We start from the raw sequence: 15,492 nt of genomic DNA, 5'->3' as shown, positions 1-15,492 counted from the left end.
TCTCTGATGGCCAGTGATGGTGAGCATTTTTTCATGTGCAAAACATTTATTTTTAACACAGAAGGTAGAGTCCTCCCTTTCCCTTTTCCTATCCCCATTGCCATTCCTTCATGAGCCCTGATAAGTTTGGTGTATACCATTCCAGATCTGTATCTGTGCATTTACATGTATATAATACATAAACAAATAAGATCTTACTATATGTATTGTTCCTGCACCTTGAGTTTTTCTCTTTCATGGTATGTCTTGGAGATGTTAATAGATTGGCACCTGGAGATCTACTTCATTCTAAGTGCCATGGAATTACATATTGTGGATGTGCTATAATTTACTGAAGACATTCCCATGATGACATGCATGTAGGGAGTTTTGCTACTAAAAAGTGTGTTAGTCTCAAAAGGTTACATACTATCTGATTTTACATGGCATTCTGAAAAATAGGACAGAGAGATGAGGACATAGAACAGATCAGAGGTTAAAGGCTGAGGTTGGCGGGTTCATTGCAAAGGTCAGCACCAGGAATTCTTTGGGGTGTTGAGATTCTTCTGTATCCTGTTTGTAGTGGTGGTTACAAGAACCTGTGCATATTAGAAAACTCAAATATATACCTTGTTTAGATAAAGAGTGTATTCTTGAAGATGGGAGGGCTAAATGCTATCTAATATTAACATTACGCTACCAGCTTTTTTGGGTATTTGTGTTATATTATCTTTTAATCTCTATTTTTACTCTTATAATTTTTTTAGGTTTCTGCCTTTTGAATTTTTAAAAATCCAAACTAATCACCCTTTTCTTTTTATAAGTGAACTTAATCCATTATTTTGCTCACTCATATTTGGATATTTGGACTTATTTCTAGATTTTTCATTTTCATTTATACTTTTCCCTTCTCCTTCCTGCCTTCTGCTGCACTGCTCATTTTTTCTCTATCTCCTATTTCCCACCCAACCCCTTCTCAGCTGGTTAGGAAGATAGCGACTGTATTTCTGTTCTTCTAGATGTTATCTATAATTTCTTAAAATGTACAGTTAAAATTTTTAGTATCTCCACACCACTTCCAAGAATATGTTGTAACTACCCACTGAACTATACCAATTTGTTGTTCCCAGAGTTTGTTTTTGCTTTCTTTTGAAACTTTTTTTTTTTTTTTTACAATCTGTACTTGATTGTGTTTGTTTATATATTTATTAAATTATGAGTCACTAGTTTTCTTAGATCCTATAACTTCTCCCTGGGTTCATTTTCCTTTTGGTTGAAGTATACACCTTAATAACTCTTAATAAAAGTCTGTGGATAGGAAACTCATATATCCTGTAAGACTGACAATTCCTATATTGCTTTCATTCTTCAGTAACTATTTGGTAAGTTATACAATTCTGTTTTGATAGTAATTTCCTCTCAGCATTTAAAAATATTATTCCATTTTCCCTGGCTTATATTTTTTCTGATGAGAAGCTTGCTGTCAGTTTGTGTTATTTAGTGCGCAATCTATCTTTAAGGTAGCTTTTAAGATTTTACCTTTAGTCTCAGGATTTTCTGCAGGTTCACTTTAATTTTGAATGTATGTGGATTAATCCTACTCCATATCTGGAGCTAAGGACTTGACTTTCTTTAATTTTGGGAAATTAAAGCAAATATTTCTTCAAATATTGCTCCATCCTTTCTTCCATTTTCTTCTACAACTCCTCTGAGATGTATGTCAGTGTCTCTCAGTCTGTCTTTCATGAGCGTGTGTTTTGATTCCTGTCTTTCTCTGTGCTGGGCTCTGGGTAAACTGAGAACTCTTGTTTAATTCATTACTTCTTTATGCTACTGAGTACAGTCCAGTTATTCTATCTGTTGATATTTTATAATTCATTGACTTTATTTCCAAGATTTCTAAATTTGTTATATCAGCTCTTAAGTCATATCTACCTACTTTATTGATTGATTGATTGAGACAGGGTCTTGCTGTGTTGCCCAGGCTGGAGTGCAGTAGCATGATCATGGCTCACAGTAGCTTCAAAAATCCTGGGATCAAGTGATCCTCCCACCTCAGCCTGCCATGTAGCTGGGACTACAGGTGTGTGCCACCATGCCTGGCTAATGAAAAAAAAATTTATTTTTTATTTTTTAATTTTTATTTTTTTAGAGATAGGGTCTTGCCATGTTGCCCAGGCTGGTTTTGAACTCCTGGGCTCAAGTGATCCGCCTGCCTCGGCCTCCCAAAGTGCAGGGATTACAGGTGTTCACCACGGTACCCGGCCCCTACTTTTTAAATGTTATGTCTTGATCTTTTTAACCACTCTCTGTATATTTATTTTAAATTCATTGTCATCTGGTTAAAACTTAATTTCATCTTGCATGAATCTGTGTTCCAACTGTTAATTTTGTTAATAGTCTTTCTTAACATAGTTTTTTTCATGTGTTCTGGGTGGTAGACGCATCCTGAGTAGGTGTATGTTTTCCACTGCTTCTCTTGAGTGTACTTTTGTGGTTTTCTGCACCCAGCCCCCAGCCCCCCAGAGTCCACCAATAGGTCTTATCATGGTATTTGGATGTTCCACTGTGATGTCAGGCCTCACAGAGTCAGTCTGCAAGACAGTGGACAGGCTGACTCAGTTTCTGGTCGGCAGGCACCTCAGATGCACACTTTCCTCTGAAGTACTGGCTCCAGCATCCAGTTAATCGCTATATTTTTTCAGCTTCTTTTTGGGAGTGAGGACTTTTGGCTTGAAACAGTGACCAGGCTCCAGTCTCTTATCTTGCTTGGTGCATTTATGGTTCCCTTTACTAGCAGGAGCTGAGCTCCTGGCTGCTACTGCTTAGTTTTGGATAAGAGCCCAGCAATTGATTCAGACCCATTCAGCGTTCCATTTGTGCTCCACAGAAACGCTCATCTTGCTTTGGGGTCTGTGTATGCATTTTTGTTATCTTTTTATATCTATCATGACTATACACATTGAACACAGGACTGTTTTGAATTGTAACACCTGTTTTACCATCTTTCGCAGATGTGTGTATCATAATACAAAAATTAGTCGAGACAAATTATTATGAAAAATTGTGTTGCTTGGGTAGTGCCACACAAGGTAAACTTATATGTCAAATTCCCTCCCCACCAGAAAGGCCGAATTTCTTTACACATGTTCCACCAACAGCATATGAAAATACTTACTTTCCTATATCCTCGACAATAAAGTCCATTGTTCTTTTTCTTTCTTTCTTTTTTTTTTTTTGAGATGGAGTCTCACTCTGCCACCCAGGCTGGAGTGGAGTGCAGTGGTGCGATCTTGGCTCACTGCAAGTTCCGCCTCCCAGGTTCACGCCATTCTCCTGCCTCAGTCTCCCAAGTAGCTGGGACTACAGGTGCCCACCACCACGCCCGGCTAATTTTTTGTAGTTTTAGTAGAGACAGGGTTTCACCGTGTTAGCCAGGATGGTCTCAATCTCCTGACCTCGTGATCCGCCTGCCTCGGCCTCCCAAAGTGCTGGGATTACAGGCATGAGCCACCGCGCCTGGCCCCATTGTTCTTTTTCTATGAACTATAATCCCCAAATTATTTCTCCAGCTTGAACCTGTTTTCTATTTTTATTTTTTATAGAGATGGGTTCTCACTGTATTGCCTAGGCTAGTCTTGAACTCCTGGGCTCAAGTGATCCTCCTGCCTTGGACCCCCAAAATGCTGGGATTACAGGCATGAGCTACCAGCTTGGACTTTAAAACACAGCTATGATTATATTGTTATAGGAAGAGGAAGTAAGAAAATTTGCAGTGTATGATAAAATAGGTGGTACCATTCCAATATGTTAACTTGTGATCCAGATGTAGTCTTTAGATTGTGTCTTATTCTTTAAAAAGACAGTACTTTAACTTGGTTATGACAGATTTGATCCAAACAGGTAGAGTGGAGCCACAAAAAGGCAAGTGGCCAATATAAGGCAGTTAAGTTTATGCTTCATCCTCCCTCCACCTCATTGATTCAAATATAGGTAGTACCAAAGATTTCTACCCTGAAGTTGATCATCTAGACTTGCCCCCAGTCTGACGGAACAAACCAAGTTTTCCCTGTTGACCTAAGAAGGATATAGCAAAATCACATCCCAAAGATCTATTCTCCAGGGATTGTTCAGAGATAAGAGCAGGCTATCCTTTACCAACAGAAACATATTGAATACCTACTATCTACTATTAGGTTGGCATAAAAGTAATTGTGGTTTTTGCCGTTGAAAGTAATGGCAAAAAACACAATTAGTTTTGTGCCAACGTAATACATGCTAAGCGTCATAGGAAAACCAAAGAGGCATAGCCAGTATTTGCTGTTCTAAAAGCACTTGCAATCTTGCTAGAGGGACATAAACAGCCACATGAAAAATCAAACGAGAGCACAAATATGGCAATATCTACAGTAAGAGCTCAGGCTTGGAGTAAGCAGGGTAGGCTTGGCGGAGTAGAAGGAACTTCACTTGGGACTTGAAGCTACTAGGTTAGAGCCTGTGGTTCCAGAGGCAGGAGCAAAAGGATGCATTTGGGGAGAGAGAGGGAGAAAGACTGAAAAGATGGAGTGTCACTCTTCTTTTCTGAGGTAGACCCATTTCTCCTGGGCAAAGGGATAGAAATAGAAGGGAAAGGAATTAATTTTCATGTCACTAAGTTATCAGTTAATGTACAAACTTGACTAAGCACTTTCCCCAAGATACAAGATGCTAGAGGACAAAGAAAGCACTCGTTGTCCAAACGCATGAGATTGATTCCCCTCATCAGTGATAGAATTAACTCTGAAAATGTAGACTGTGTTTCAAGGCTGAACTATTGAAAATATTTTAAGTACAAAAAATGTTGGTGAGAATGAGAATGAAAAGGAACTGAAAAGGCAGAGTAGATGGCTCTGAAGGAGTGAATATTTAAATGCTTTCATTCTTAGCAAATGTCTTATTCACAACTCTTGCTGTGCATTATGTTGACTATAAGCATATTTGGGGGCAATCGCCACAGGAGCACAGAAATAGACATCTATGAGAACCACACATGCTGCATCACTATCATCAGGACGAACACCGTCCTTGTCTCCAACAGAAATGGAAAAGCAAAACTGCAAGTATGTGGCATCATTTCCTGTTTGCTGTGCACATGCTCTCTTCTTTTCTTCTACTTTTTAAAAAGACTTTTTAAATTTTCTTAGAGCAGCTTTAGGTTCACAGCAAAATTGAAAGGAAGGTACAGAGATTTCCCAAATGCTCCCTACCTCCATCCATGTATAGCCCTCCCCATTATCACCAAGCTCAACCACAGTGGTACATTTGTTACAATCGATGAACCTACATTGACACATCACTGTCATCCAAAGTCTACAGTTACCTTGGGGTTCACTCTTGGTGTTGGATAAAGATTTGGACAAATGTATAACAACATGTATCCACTGTAATATCCTACAGAGTCATTTCACTGCCCTAAAAGTCTTCTGAGCTATACCTACTTATCCCTCCCCTCCTTTGTCCTTTCTAAGCAACAACTGATATTTTACTGTCTGTAGTTTTGCCTTTTCCAGAATATAATACAGTTGGAATCATACAGCATGTATCCTTTTAAGATTAGCTTCTTTCACTTAGCAATGTACATTTAATGTTCCTCCATGTCTTTTCATAGCTTGACCGTTTATTTTTTATTTTTTATTTTTAGCACTATATAGCATTCCATTGTTTGGATCATCTCTCTCTCTCTCTTTTTTAATTTCTTTTTTTTTCCACCTTCGGGACTTGTCTGAATCTCCCTTATTTTTAATGATGATGATGCTTAACATTTATATCATGGCCAGGAAATAACACACTGTACAGGGAGGAAGTTTACACCCATATAGTAAAGTGAGAGAAAAACCAGTCTAAGGCAAACTGCCAAAGTCTAAGGTATTTACAAGAGCAGAGTAAAAGGTCTGTTTTTATTAGTTGCCTATTTCTCCAACAGCAATAAGAAAGGGAAAAAAAAATCATACCTTGGCACATTTGAGGCATGGAGTGCTTGGGGAAAAAAATCCAAGGGATTGAAGAGATAAGTGCATTAAAACTTAGATTTCTGAACTTATGGATTTTCTCAGTGGTAAAGTATAATGGTACTTTTATACAGGTTTTATTAATACATAATTAAAGGCTAGTATCAAGTGAAACTCCTTGAGTTATGCACCGTGAGAAATGCCTGAGGAACATTAAATGTCACTGATAGAAAGATTAAGCACTAAAAAAGCTACAGCATATCTTAAATCATTATACAGAACAAATAACAGTATAAGGACCAGTAAGCTCTTTAAAGATAGACACCATGCTTAGTTTTCATTGCCTGGCACAAAGTAGGTACGCAATAAATATGAAGTGAATAAATAAAACAAACACTGTCCCCCATATCCCTAAGGAGGAACAAACCACAGCTAAGGCAAGCATATGCATTCATATATTCAGATGCCAGAGAACATCTGGAAATATTTGACCTCTAGCTACCTTCTTCTGACATGAAACAATTCGTTTTGCACACTCTCCTAACTGCCAAGTGATATCAGTCTAGTGATTCCTAAAGCCAGAGTTAAGTGCTAACTCATTTAAGAGACACAAAGAGAGTACCAGATTTGGGACACATGGTCTGTTTATTCCTAGGTAAAAAAGAAACCATCATATCCACATTAGAATCATGTCTACATTTTGAAATTTTGCTTAGTAAATACGATTCTCCTATCACTGTAAATATTGACATACTAACTTTTCTGAGGGTGGGAATGACAATACATACTATTAATGTTCATTTTTTTAACCCTTCATTAAACTGAAGGTTTCCAGCCATCAAGGATGCTTTTATTACCTCTATCTTGGTTGTATCCACATTGTTTTTTTTCCCCTCTTCTTTTGAAGAAAGCTTCTCTAGGCCAAACAAGGAATTACAAAAAAAATTTTTCAGAAATGAAGGGGGTGGGTGAGATTTGAAGCAGCTTCTTCTCATTCTGCTTCATGGCATTTTTCCATAAGCCATAAAGACCAGTGAATTATTTGATCCATGGCAATTTAAGATCTATGTGGAAAGCATCCATTTCAAAGTAACAACCATGTGAGAAAATTCAATGGATACATAACACAGAACATGTTTTGATTTATAACAGACTATTTGTTTCGGTTGTTTGAAGAATTTGAAATATTTATCTGTAATTATGCTCTTAAAATAATACAGGAAAAACTCTTTTTGAAGCAATGCCCAGGGACTGAAACCTCAGTTCTGTACTCAGCTGACTTAGCTCTAGAAACCCTGCAGTTTACTGATAAATCTGTGAGCAGGAGTAGAATAAAAGAAATTGGGAGAGTTCAAAGAGAAACATAAATCATCCAGATTATCTTCGATGTATGAACAGGACAAAGATACAGAATTCTAAATATGGGAAGCATGCAAATAAAACTGTTCTAAAAGGATATTTTTAAATGATTATTTTAGAAATTTACTATAATAATTGGAAAATAATTTGCTATTTATTTTTAGCAAATAAAAATATCTCCCCAAGTGAGATGATATCAACTGCCAGGTTGTGGTCCAATCTACATGAAGGAATAGATAGTGTCATCCTTAAAAGATAATATCCATAATTTGTTATGGCATCATAGAAGGCTTGCAGTTAAAGCAAGAGTCATGGCACTTGTTAGTCATTTATGTGTGCTGGATGGCAAGTGATTTTTTTTTCAATCATTATTATAATTTTTAGAAGTTAAGATTATTTGGATTCCATAAATATTAATTTGGATAAGACAGGTTCCACACATTTCAGACAAACAGGTCTTTTACCTATAGAGGGAGAATTTCATCTACGCACTTTTCCATTTTTCTGAATCATCCAGATAATGGCTGATCTCTGGGGAGAAAAGACTCTTCTTTGCTCCTCCTTACTTCTTTCTAGGTGAAAGAGGGCTTGATAGAGATGGTGACCTTTAAGGAAAAGGACTGAACTCTGGTGTCACAAGGGGTTGTTTCTCCTTGGGACCAGTCTGTTTTGACTCTCTCTTTAGAGCTTCTAAAGGGAGTCATCATTTGGAAGTCTCCCTTTTTCCTTAAAACTGATGTGACACAACAGGTTTGAAGCTGCCTCTCTCTGGGAAGTTGATGGTAGCCTAGGAGGGCCTGAAGAGGATTGTTCAGATGACCTTTAGGAAGAATCAATAATAAATCAATATCTCTCTCCCCTCTCTCTTCCTCCCTCTTCTCTCTTCCCCTTCCCCTTCCCCTCTCCCCTCTGTCTGTTCTTTACTCAGATTACCTTTCTTTGACCTGAGCACAGCAGAGATTAAGGTGTAGAAAAAGAAGCTAAGGAGTTTTTTTCAGAACTCCCTACCACACCCCCACTTTTTTTGCAGGTACGTAGATTTTTCAGAGCTTAGGCAAAGAAAGTGCTTGAGACTTATCTGAAGTGTGGCCTAGCTCACCAGGAAACTGATAATGTGGTTTAGGGCCAGAACCTTAGCTTTAATTAAATGTTCTTCTGCCTGATCTTGTCCACTATGTCTGTATAGCTCCTGCAAAGTCTTCTGGGAGACAGATGTAGGTAGCTATCAGAATTAGGGCATTTGGTCCTGGATTCAAGACCTCTCTCAATCTCTGTTTGTCAAGACTCAACTAATCACACTTATGACTATATGAAGATGCCCCAAATGAAGAGAAGGCAGTTTTTTGTTTTGTTTTTCAATTGGGGAGGATCAGAGTAATTGCCCAGAGAAGACATTTTGAGGTCTACAGTTTCTAAAGAGACTAAAAACAATACATTTCTATTTTATCACCATTTTTTTCACAATAAAACTGTAAAATGGAAGTGATGCCTATCCTGCTCATTTTATAAAACTGGGCCTCAGAAAAGCCATGTGTTTCACCTAAACTCATACTAAGAGCATATGAGAGAGCCCATGCTTTCTGTTTGAAGTTTTGGGGAAAGATTTTGTTTTTTCTCTTTAAATTAACTTGATCTAGCTGAAATTATTATTTTTTTTAAATCCAGGTTTTCTATTTCCAGTGAGCATATAAGGTTTCTTACAAGGTAAAATGATGAGATAGTTGATGGCCTATTTATTAGACAAAAGATTTTTGCAGAATTCTAAAAATATAAAATTAAGTGACTACTAACTGATATAATCATGCATACAAGTGTTCTACAAGTGAATATCACTACAACACTGTCTCAGCTTGCATTAAGCATTTTCTGAGTCCAATATCTATCACCTATAACATTTAACATCAACATCCTAAACAGTAAGTTAACATATTGAACTTAAGGTCACATAGCCCCAGCTTTGGATATCAGTGCAAAGAATCTCACCAGCTTTTAAGAACTAAAATAACTTGAGTAGGGAGATGCCAATTCTATTTTAAGATAGCTGACCCTATTACTGCCAGTAGTTCAAACACTTCTTAGGAAACTTAACATTTTGAACTTGTCATTACATGATGAAAAATGTCACTATGTATGTTCAAAAGCCTTTATATAGGGCCGGGCGCGGTGGTTCATGCCTGTAATCCCAGCACTTTGGGAGCCCGAGGGGGGCAGATCACCTGAGGTCAGGAGTTTGAGACCAGCCTGGCCAACATGGTGAAACCCCATCTCTACTAAAAATACAAAAATTAGCTGGGCATGGTGGCTCACGTCTGTAGTCCCAGTTACTCGGGAGGCTGAGGCAGGTGAATTGCTTGAACCCAGGAGGTGGAGGTTGCAGTGAGCCAAGATTGAGCCACTGCACTCCAGCCTGGGCGACAGTGAGACTCTGTATCAAAAAAAAAAAAAAAAAGTCTTTATACTTTTATTAGAAACAGGAAGTGCTATTATAACAAAAAAGCTGGGCATGGGCTGGGCTCCCAGCACTTTGGGAGGCTGAGGCGGGTGGATCACTTGAGGTCAGAAGTTTGAGACCATTCTGGCCAACATGGTGAAAGCCCGTCTCTACTAAAAATACAAAAATTAGCTGGGTGTGGTGGTGCATGGATGTAATCTCAACTACTAGGGAAGCTGAGGCAGGAGAACCACTTGAACCCGGGAAGTGGAGTTGCAGTGAGATCATGCCAATGCACACATTCCAGCCTGGGTGACAGAGTGAGACTCCATCTCAAAAAAAAAAAAAAAAAAAAAAGAAGCTGGGCATGGTGTCACGCACCTGTAATCCCAGCTACTCAGGAAGCTGAGGCAGGAAGATCACTAGAGCCCAGGAGTTTCAAAGCAGCCTGCGCAACAGAGTGAGAACTCGTCTCCAAAATAACAAAACAAACGAAACAAAATGAAGCAGAGCTGAAAGTCCTTGTTTGCTAGAAACCCCCAAGTGGACATCTGTAGAATGTTACCATGCCCCACAAGTCTTATCTTCTGTAATACACCATATCACTTTTTTCTCCCTGGAATATAATTTATTCCTGTATTCCTATAACCACCCTGTATACAGTCCACATAAAATTGGAATTCAGTCCACATAAAATTGTCAAGGTGATAGATGACAAGAAGTAAAATTCTAGGGAAGATCAAAAGTGTCAGTTCAAATAAACCACCATAAAAAGAAGGTCCCAACTAAGGCATATTTTTGATACTAGATGTAACAGAGGTTTTGAAATAGTGTTTCTTTCACACCATTCACTACCATCCCCACAGAGATGACAAAGGTTGCTCTTTACAATTATTTTCACTATCTAAATAATTTTTGTTTTATATTCCCCAAAGACCCTAGTAGAACGGAGATGTAAGGTGGGTACATGGAAACTTTATACAACTGGGCCGGTGCAGTAGCTCACACCTGTAATCCCAGCACTTTGGAAGGCTGAGGTGGGTGGATCACTCTAGGCCAGGAGTTCAAGACCAACCTGGCCAAAATGGTTAAACTCTGTCTCCACTAAAAATACAAAAATTAGCTGGGTGTGGTGGTGCATGCTTGTAAACCCAGCTACTCAGGTGGCTGAGGTATGAGAATTGCTTGAACTGGGAGGCAGAGGTTGCAGTGAGCCGAGACCGCGCCTCTGCACTCCAGCCTGGGTGACAGAGTGAGACTCTGTCTCAAAAAAAAAAAAAAAAAAAAAAAAAAAAAGGAAGAAAAGATAAAAGAAAAGGAACATATCTGAGATGAGGTCTTGATTTTAAGCCTTCACTTCTATCTGTGATTTCATCAGTATTCTGATGTAATCAGTATTACTGATTCTAAGTAAGAATTTCTGGGCTTCTATCTATAAAATTCAAATTTGGCCAAAGAAAAAGATCTACTAGAAATCCCAGACAGTATACAGCAGATGACTGCATGGGGGGAGTAGAAGCAAGAATTCAGGGCACATTGTCAAAATGAAGTCTTCTGATATCATTCTGGAATCTATAATTCTGATTGCCTGTACTTTCCAGTGAACTGCCTATGAGCATTTTCACCTGAAGGTCATTTGTCATGGAGCTGACATTGATGGCTCTAAATCAGAGAAGTAGAAATTAATTTCAGTATGCCCTAAAAATCAAAGCGGGGATCAGCTCTAACCAAAAAACTCACATGTCCTAACCTTTTTGATAGTGTGACCCTGCTGGCCACTTCGCTCCTAGTGATTGGGTTAAATCTTCCAGGATTTTTTTGTAGGTGGCTTTGTCATTGAAATAATTCTTTTTTCCCCTCCAAATTCAGAAAGCAGGAAATGTCTTTTCTATGTCACAATCACAAGGCAGGTCCCCTAGGGCTTCCAGGGGGCTTGCATCTTCCAGTTCCTGTTTCTGGTTTCTAACTGCTAATTCTATATTTGGTAACGGTCTGCCCATGGGCTGTTTTGGATTTGGTCATAATAAGATAACCTGGAGTCACTGAGCAGAGATCTAAAGCAATCTTATTTTTCCAGGAAGCAACGTGTTGACCTTTCAGGATATGGTCTATTTTGTTGAATGTGTTGAGTTTTTGAATAGTGTTGTTTATAGCACAAAGTTGGGTGTTTACACTATTGGTCCTTGAGGGTGTATGACTGTACAGGAATAGGACAGACACATATACTCCTACACTCTCCTGGCTTATAGTGAGTTTATATTTGTTCTTATGTGGATTGATGTAATCTAAGGAATGCTCTTTATACATGCTCTTATTTCATGGCAGCCTTGAAAAGAGCTACTTGCTCAGAAATGAATAAATATTTGTCAGACAAGTAAGGCAAAAGTGCTGGTTCTAATCCTTTTACATAAGTGCAAGAAAGAATCAACATCCCCTTGATAGAAAATAATCTCCTTAATCCCCCAGTATTTTCCAAGCTGAGTAGTGTTGAACCTATATGAATACAATCTTTTAGGAGTAAACAGATATCAACTGTTAACTTGACATGAAAAAAGCAACTTACAAAATAGTTACTCTAAAAGCTGTTGGATTACTATTTTATCATCAAAGAGTGTTCTTCTAACTTCACCTTAGATTTTGCCTTGTCATGTATTCCAATATAGGAGTTAACTTGCTTTGTAAATAAGATCAGAAAGAATGATACACTTTCAATTTACAAGTGGAAAATCAAGACATAAAAATATATTTTAACAATTTTAACATCGCCTTGGGAATGAGAAAGGAACTTGAGCTTCACAGAGAATCCTTTGTTTATAAAGTTATCAGTCATTAAGCCATTTTTAGTGGATTATCATAGCAGAGCTAAAATAAGAGCTTAAATTCTTCCCCTATGGAACATTAATTTGTTATATGGATCCTAGGTAGTTTTACTTTGATAATTTGTACCATGCATTCTTTCTTGTTTTGTTAATGCTCACTATAGAGTGCAAATTTTTCTTTTTAAATAGCAGGTATATAGTGAATGCCCCTTAAAATTTTAATTTATAATTCATAAAATTGATACTTTTTGTAACGATTTTCTCTTTTTATCATTTTGTACTTGCTTTTACACTGAAAATCCTGTTTTATAAGCCAAACCTTGCCCTCACAATCTGTGCAATTGTGATGGTTCCATAATATTTGATAGCAGTGTGCACAGGGGTGACAGACGCCTCATGGAGAATCAGCCTAAGATTGGAATCTCAGCTGCATCCCTCTTGGCTTTGGGGCAAGTTATCTAACCTTCTACACTTTGGAATTCTCATCTGAAAAATGGGACTAATCTACTTTCACAGGTTTGTTCTGGGAACTAAATAAAGTACATACAGATTCTAGCACAGGTTCTCTTGCCAGTGTTACTCCATGGATGTGCTATTAGCATTCTGGATAAAACAATTCTGCTGTGTGGGAATGTCCCACCGATTGCAGGATGTTTAATATCCCTGACCCCACCCTCTCCGAAAAATGCCATCTGGGCCCTCCGGTCACTGTGCCAATCCATGAGGGCTTTGTAAAATGATCACACTAAATATTCTGTTAATGCTGAGTTTTCCCCTTCATGCGTCTTATTAAAATATATATTTTGGTTTTGTATATTCATTCTTTGAGACTTCACTCAATTATCTTCTTGAGTCCCTCACTTCCAGTGACTGAGATGACAACATCATATTTGATGCTCTTGAGGCACCATTAAGGCATTTACATATTGGAAAACATTGCTTATGTGTTTCTATGGTCTTCAGACAATTAGCAATCTGAAGGCATGGGCTGTGCTGTTTTTCTTTTAGCATCTAACACCCCACAGAGTGTCTGATATATTGCTGATGCACAGGATTGTTTGTTGAATTGAGTAGTCCACCCCGTATGAATTCTGTGCCCTGCAGCCTTCATATTCTGAAGCAATATTTCTTTTGGCATCTCACTTTTTCTCAGAACCTTGTCATCTCAGACAACACTTCTTGTACCCAGTCAACTGGCATCAGATTTCTTTTTAACGGCTGAAGAGATGAAAAAGGCCTATGTGTGAAGGGCCCAGGTTAGTTAACCTGTCTGAGCAGGAGCCACTGATTGTGCGAGGTAAGAGTGGTGGTGCTGAGAAGGCTGGTCAGCGGGGAGCCCAAAAGCCTTCTGGACTGTAGAGAGACACTGTGGGGCTGTGCTGCAGGAAGATGATTCTGACCAGCACACAGGAAAAGAGGTTTAGCTTGTGCTTGAATTCCCTCCTGAACTTACCGCAGGCACATCTCCTAAATGATGCTCATTATAGACATTTTCATAGGTACACTCTTATTTTCATTCATTTCATTGCAAGTTAACTATTTATTCTAAAAGATTTTCTGTGTTCTTTCTCTTTTCATCCTGCCATGGAATGTGTAAACAAGAGAAACAATTCCGTGTGCTTGTTAGGCAGATCCTGCAGCAGCGCTCTGAGCCATGGCACAGTAATAAAGACAGGTTGATAGTGCTCCCGCTAATCTATGTCACCTTCCTCTACTATTTCCCAAGCTAGCCACCCCAAATCTAACCTTCTCCTTGAGACCCCTGCTCTACTACCTTCCTTATTGCCAATTCCTACTGCATTCCTCACCCTCACAACCTCTCAGTAAATGTTGTTTTCTCCATCACAGAGAAACAACAAGCCATAAGGCACAGACGCCTGTCTTTCTGTCTCCCTACCAAATAAAAATGTATCTGTAGCTATCATTCCCATTCTGGTGGATGATGCCTCCTCCACCCAAATCAGGGATAATCCTTCCACCTAGATCCTGGATCTTCACCTCGTTCCTCCTGAAAATGACCATCACTAACCCCAAACTCCTGGGTTTTACATCCAACTGATTACTTAATATCTCCACGTTGATGTTTAACATATATCACAAACCTAACATGTTTACAAACAAACTTTTCTAGTTGCTGAGGTCTAAAAATCTTAGTCATCCTTGATTTCTCTCTTTTTTTTTTTGAGACGGAGTCTTGCTTTGTCACCCAGGCTGCAGTGCAATGGTGCGATCTTGGCTCACTGCAACCTTTGCCTCCCGGGTTCAGGCGATTCTCCTGCCCCAGCCTCCCGAGTAGCTGGGATTACAGGTGCATGCCAACATGCCCGGCTAATTTTTGTATTGTTAGTAGAGATGGGGTTTCACCATGTTGGCCAGGCTAGTCTCGAACTCCTGACCCCAGGTGAGCCACCCACCTCGGTCTCCCAAAGTGTTGGGATTACAGGTGTGAGCCACCATGCCCGGCCGATTTCTCTTTTTCTCTTGTATTTCACATTTAATCTTTCAGCAAATCTTGGTGGGTTTTCCTTCAAAATACATGCAGAACAACTGCTTTCACCCTACTCAAACCATTTAATTCATTTCTTGCCTGGATTATTGCACTAGCCTTCCAAATACCACCCTCACTTCCATCCTCACCCCCTACAGTATATTCTCAACAGCTGTAGTGGTCTTGTTAAAACATAAATTATGCTAATCTTCTGGTCATAAATCCTTCAAACATGTTCTAACTCACTCAGAACAAAGCCAAGCCCTCCAGTGGCCTAGAAGGCCCTACGTGATCTGGCACCCACTGTGTCTCGGGCCTCACCTTTTACTGTTCTTCCCCTCACTCACGTTTTTCTGGCACACTGGCCTCATGGCTTTTCTTCAACATTACAGAGGTAATTCTGCTTCAGGCCTGTAACATGTCCAGGGG

The 15,492-nt window shown here is 39.0% G+C and overlaps 1 protein-coding gene across 6 annotated transcripts in view; it reads right to left on the bottom strand.

Annotated features, from left to right (window-relative positions):
- LRRC8C (leucine rich repeat containing 8 VRAC subunit C) overlaps window positions 1-15,492 on the bottom strand; it is a 103,710-nt gene that overhangs the window by 14,835 nt on the left and 73,383 nt on the right. The gene's annotated exons all lie outside the window — the stretch shown is intronic.

This window comes from Homo sapiens, chromosome 1 (assembly GCF_000001405.40).
Source record: "Homo sapiens chromosome 1, GRCh38.p14 Primary Assembly".
Classification (NCBI taxonomy): domain Eukaryota; kingdom Metazoa; phylum Chordata; class Mammalia; order Primates; family Hominidae; genus Homo; species Homo sapiens.
This window is presented reverse-complemented; position numbering and strand designations above follow the sequence as displayed.